This window comes from Homo sapiens, chromosome 4 (genome assembly GCF_000001405.40).
Source record: "Homo sapiens chromosome 4, GRCh38.p14 Primary Assembly".
Lineage (NCBI taxonomy): Eukaryota > Metazoa > Chordata > Mammalia > Primates > Hominidae > Homo > Homo sapiens.
Genome location: NC_000004.12, coordinates 14,266,636 through 14,270,168, shown reverse-complemented (window position 1 = coordinate 14,270,168; position 3,533 = coordinate 14,266,636). Strand labels below are relative to the sequence as shown.

The following is a 3,533-nucleotide window of genomic DNA, read 5'->3' as shown; positions in this document are numbered from 1 at the left end:
TAACACCTGTTTTAAATACATTATCTTAGGCGAGGTATGGTCAGGTCAGACACAGATCAAGAGAAAGAAATCAAAAAGAGTCTTAGAGTTTCGTTACACTCACACTTCCCTAGAGAGACACAACATGCCATGCAGGGCCTCATGGGGAAGCACCAAAGTCAGTCACAGGCAGAAGGCAAGAGGAACTTTGAGCTGGCACTTTTATTGTGGTTTCCGCAGGAAAAAAAGGGTGAGGCTAGGCTCTGGGACATAGAGATGGTCCTTGGTTTTCTGGCAACTGCTCTGAGGCTATTAACAAAAATGTGTCATGGCCTGAAATGTAGGAACCTGATAAAGGAAGATGATAGTACACACACAAAACTACAAACTACATTGTACCATCTGATATTTATAGGATGGTTTAAACAATTTATTACAATTTTTTGAAACAAAATACTTGAGAAAATAGTATATATAAGACAGCAATATAAAAAGGTAGTAAGAGATCCAGTCCATGTTAAAATCTCAGCTAGTCTGCTTATTAGCTATATGAACTTGGATGAAATATTTAACTTCATTATTCCCATTTCTATATATGTATGTGTGTAAATAAAATACTAGAACCTAACTAGATAGTGACTTCTAGTGAGTGCTGTACATATCGTAGCTTAAAAAAAAGTGTAGCTTCTAAATAGAGTTATATGATGCTGCATTTGGTCATTCAGAACAATTCATAATATTTTGCTACCTTAGTCTACTCAAATGATAGATTTTAAGTGAGAAAATATCACAACTAATTATAGGATATAATATCAAGTTTACTGGAATGAAGCGAGTATATACATAAAGTTAAAACTTTTTTAAAATATTAGAATCTCAAAACAAATTTACTGTGTTAACTAATGAATGTTTCTGCCATCTCCATCTTATTAAGAGAGCCACTGAAAATTTGTGAAGGTTTGTCATATAGTCAAGATATCTTTAATATGTTTTATTAATGCATCATCTCATTACTAATGTAGAAATAAATTGCAAAGAAAAAAATGTTAGACTTGAGTAGAGCCTTGGGAATCGTCTGGTTTAGCACTATCATCTTAGAAATGGGCTTTTATGGTGACAGGGGAAGTCCCATCTTTAAATATTTTTGAAGAGGCTCAGCATTCAGGATCTCTGAAGCAGAGAACAGATCCAAATCCATTTCCCTTAGTAAGGCTTTGGATTTTTCAGGAGGCCAAGCATCAGACACCTATTTAGAACAGAATAAGAAATAGCCCCATTAAAATAGGAGTGTATGACATCCACCTCACCCTACACATTTTATAGCTTTCTATCCAACCATGCTTTTCTTCAGTATACAAAACTGAAAAAAAAAGCACTGGATGAGGGTTGCAGAAGCTGTGTACATTTGTAGGAGTCACTTTCTATTTTGATAGTCACTATCAAAATGGGCTGCATAATGATATTCACCTCCCAAGAATGTCACTGAGAGTCAATTCATGTGGCCGACACAGTGACTGGCACACAGTAGGCCCATTATAAGTGCTTCTTCAATCTTGGTAGGTTTTCTCTAAATGTTTAATGGAACCTATATTTTGTTGCCCTCTCAAACAACATAATCCTCTTTGAGGTCTTAATGGAAATTTCCATCAATGCTCCAAAGCTCCTCACCTCTACCTCAAAATGGATAGCGGTGGTACATATGGAAGCGACCTTCACTTAACATGCATCAAACATGTACTGAGAGGGTGTCCCCTATGCTCTGTATGTCATGGGATGCTCCCTTAGATCTCTATTCTCAATCATTCACCACTTTACAATTTTTTGTTGTCATTTGTTAACATCCAATTGCTTAATTATTTTGGGGGGAAACAGAAGTTTCAGACATAGAGACAAACACTGTGCATCACTGGACTCACCTTTGAGGTAAAGCCACTGGAATTACAGGAGTAACGATGCCTTTTTTCTTGTCAAACTCCAAGAGCTGGGGTCAAAAAAAACCTGCCACATATCCCAAGCCAAGCTGTGTGGAGATCGGTGTTTACATTGTGTTTAAGCACATATAAAATAAATGATGTGGGAAGAAGGTTCACCATCTATTTTAAAATGCTACCTTCTATTTTAGATCAAACATGTACAATTTCTGTTTAGCAATTTCAGCTAATTGTTGGATTAACATTTTGGGGAACAGATTGCAAACTTCAAAATGGAAAAGATCATTTTAGGGAGGGAAGCTAGGCAGCTGTCAGGGAGTCGGAATTAACATACATTTGCATAACAGATGTACAGTAAGGTGTCTATGACAGACAATCACTGAATATTAATGCTACAGACCATGACATCATTTGCGTAAATGCTGTCTGCTGGGTATTGAGGTTGGTGTGCTCTTTGCAGAAGACAAAGGGCCAGAGAATGGAACAGATGCACCAGATACGCCAATGCATCTTAATTTATGACATCCTCATGAAAGACCTTGTGGTGTGATTTCAGATTTTATTACAAATAATTTGGAGATAAAGGAACTAAGTAATTATCTTTTCCCCTACAGTTAGTCTCTCTCAAAGGAGAGGGATCATTTGTGGACTGCCATTGTGATGCTCTCAGGAGAGTGACATTCGTTTTATGAAGTGGGGGTGGGGTGCGGAAGAAAAGGAAAGCGTCCCTGAAAGTCAACATTGTGCGTTGAATAGATGTGGCTATTAGCATGTTGTCGGACACCTGTCACAGATCAACTCACCCCCATACACACACACTTGAATGAAGCAGCAGGTGATTCCATGGCAGGTTTCAAATGTTTTTTTTTTTTTTTCGAAGTGAATTAACGTTGAAGTATAAAACTCATTTTGTCAAGTCAATGTTATGAACATATGTTGAGCTTGTACTATGTGCAAAGCACTGGGTTTCCTTTCTTTGGTATCTTAATCAATTCTTCACTGTATTCCGGCCAGTCTCCACTGGACACCCTCTCCAGTAATTACAATCCATGAAGCTGCTTGCCTTTGTGACCTCTCATTGCATAACTAGCCCCTGATTGGCTGATTTTAAATGTCATGTACTTGATCAATATATATTTGAACATATAACAGGTGCCAGACCATGCACTAGGTATTGAATATGTAAAGACCTCGGGAGCTTCTGTTCTAAAGACTCTCACTCCCTAGTGGGAATGACAGTCAATCAGTCAACAAATGTTTATTGAGATGTTACTATGCATTAGACATTGTCAAGGTGTGGAGGCATAGCAATAAATAAAGCTGACAATCACTGCCCTCAAGTCACAATCTTTCTAGTGAGGAAGATAATAAACTGATAACAAAATAAACAGTATGGTATTAGATTCACAGGTAAAATAAGATAATGAGAAAGAGAGTGGCAAAGAATGACTGGTAGTGATTGGGGTGGGAAAGGTCTGCTTTCTTTTCAATCACTAAATACCTATTTTATTATCTTTTATGACCTAATACCTGAATAATGAGAGGGAGGCAGCTACACAGAGCATCTGAAGCAACATCATTCAAGTAGAAGAAATAGCAAATTAGAAGTTCCTGAAACTGAGT

General features: G+C 37.4%; 1 annotated feature.

Annotated features, from left to right (window-relative positions):
* Positions 1,869-2,960: an enhancer, noted in NCBI's record as "VISTA enhancer hs842". NCBI's record gives its function as "enhancer in: neural tube[4/4] | hindbrain (rhombencephalon)[4/4]" and the evidence as "EXISTENCE:transgenic organism evidence [ECO:0001131][PMID:17130149]".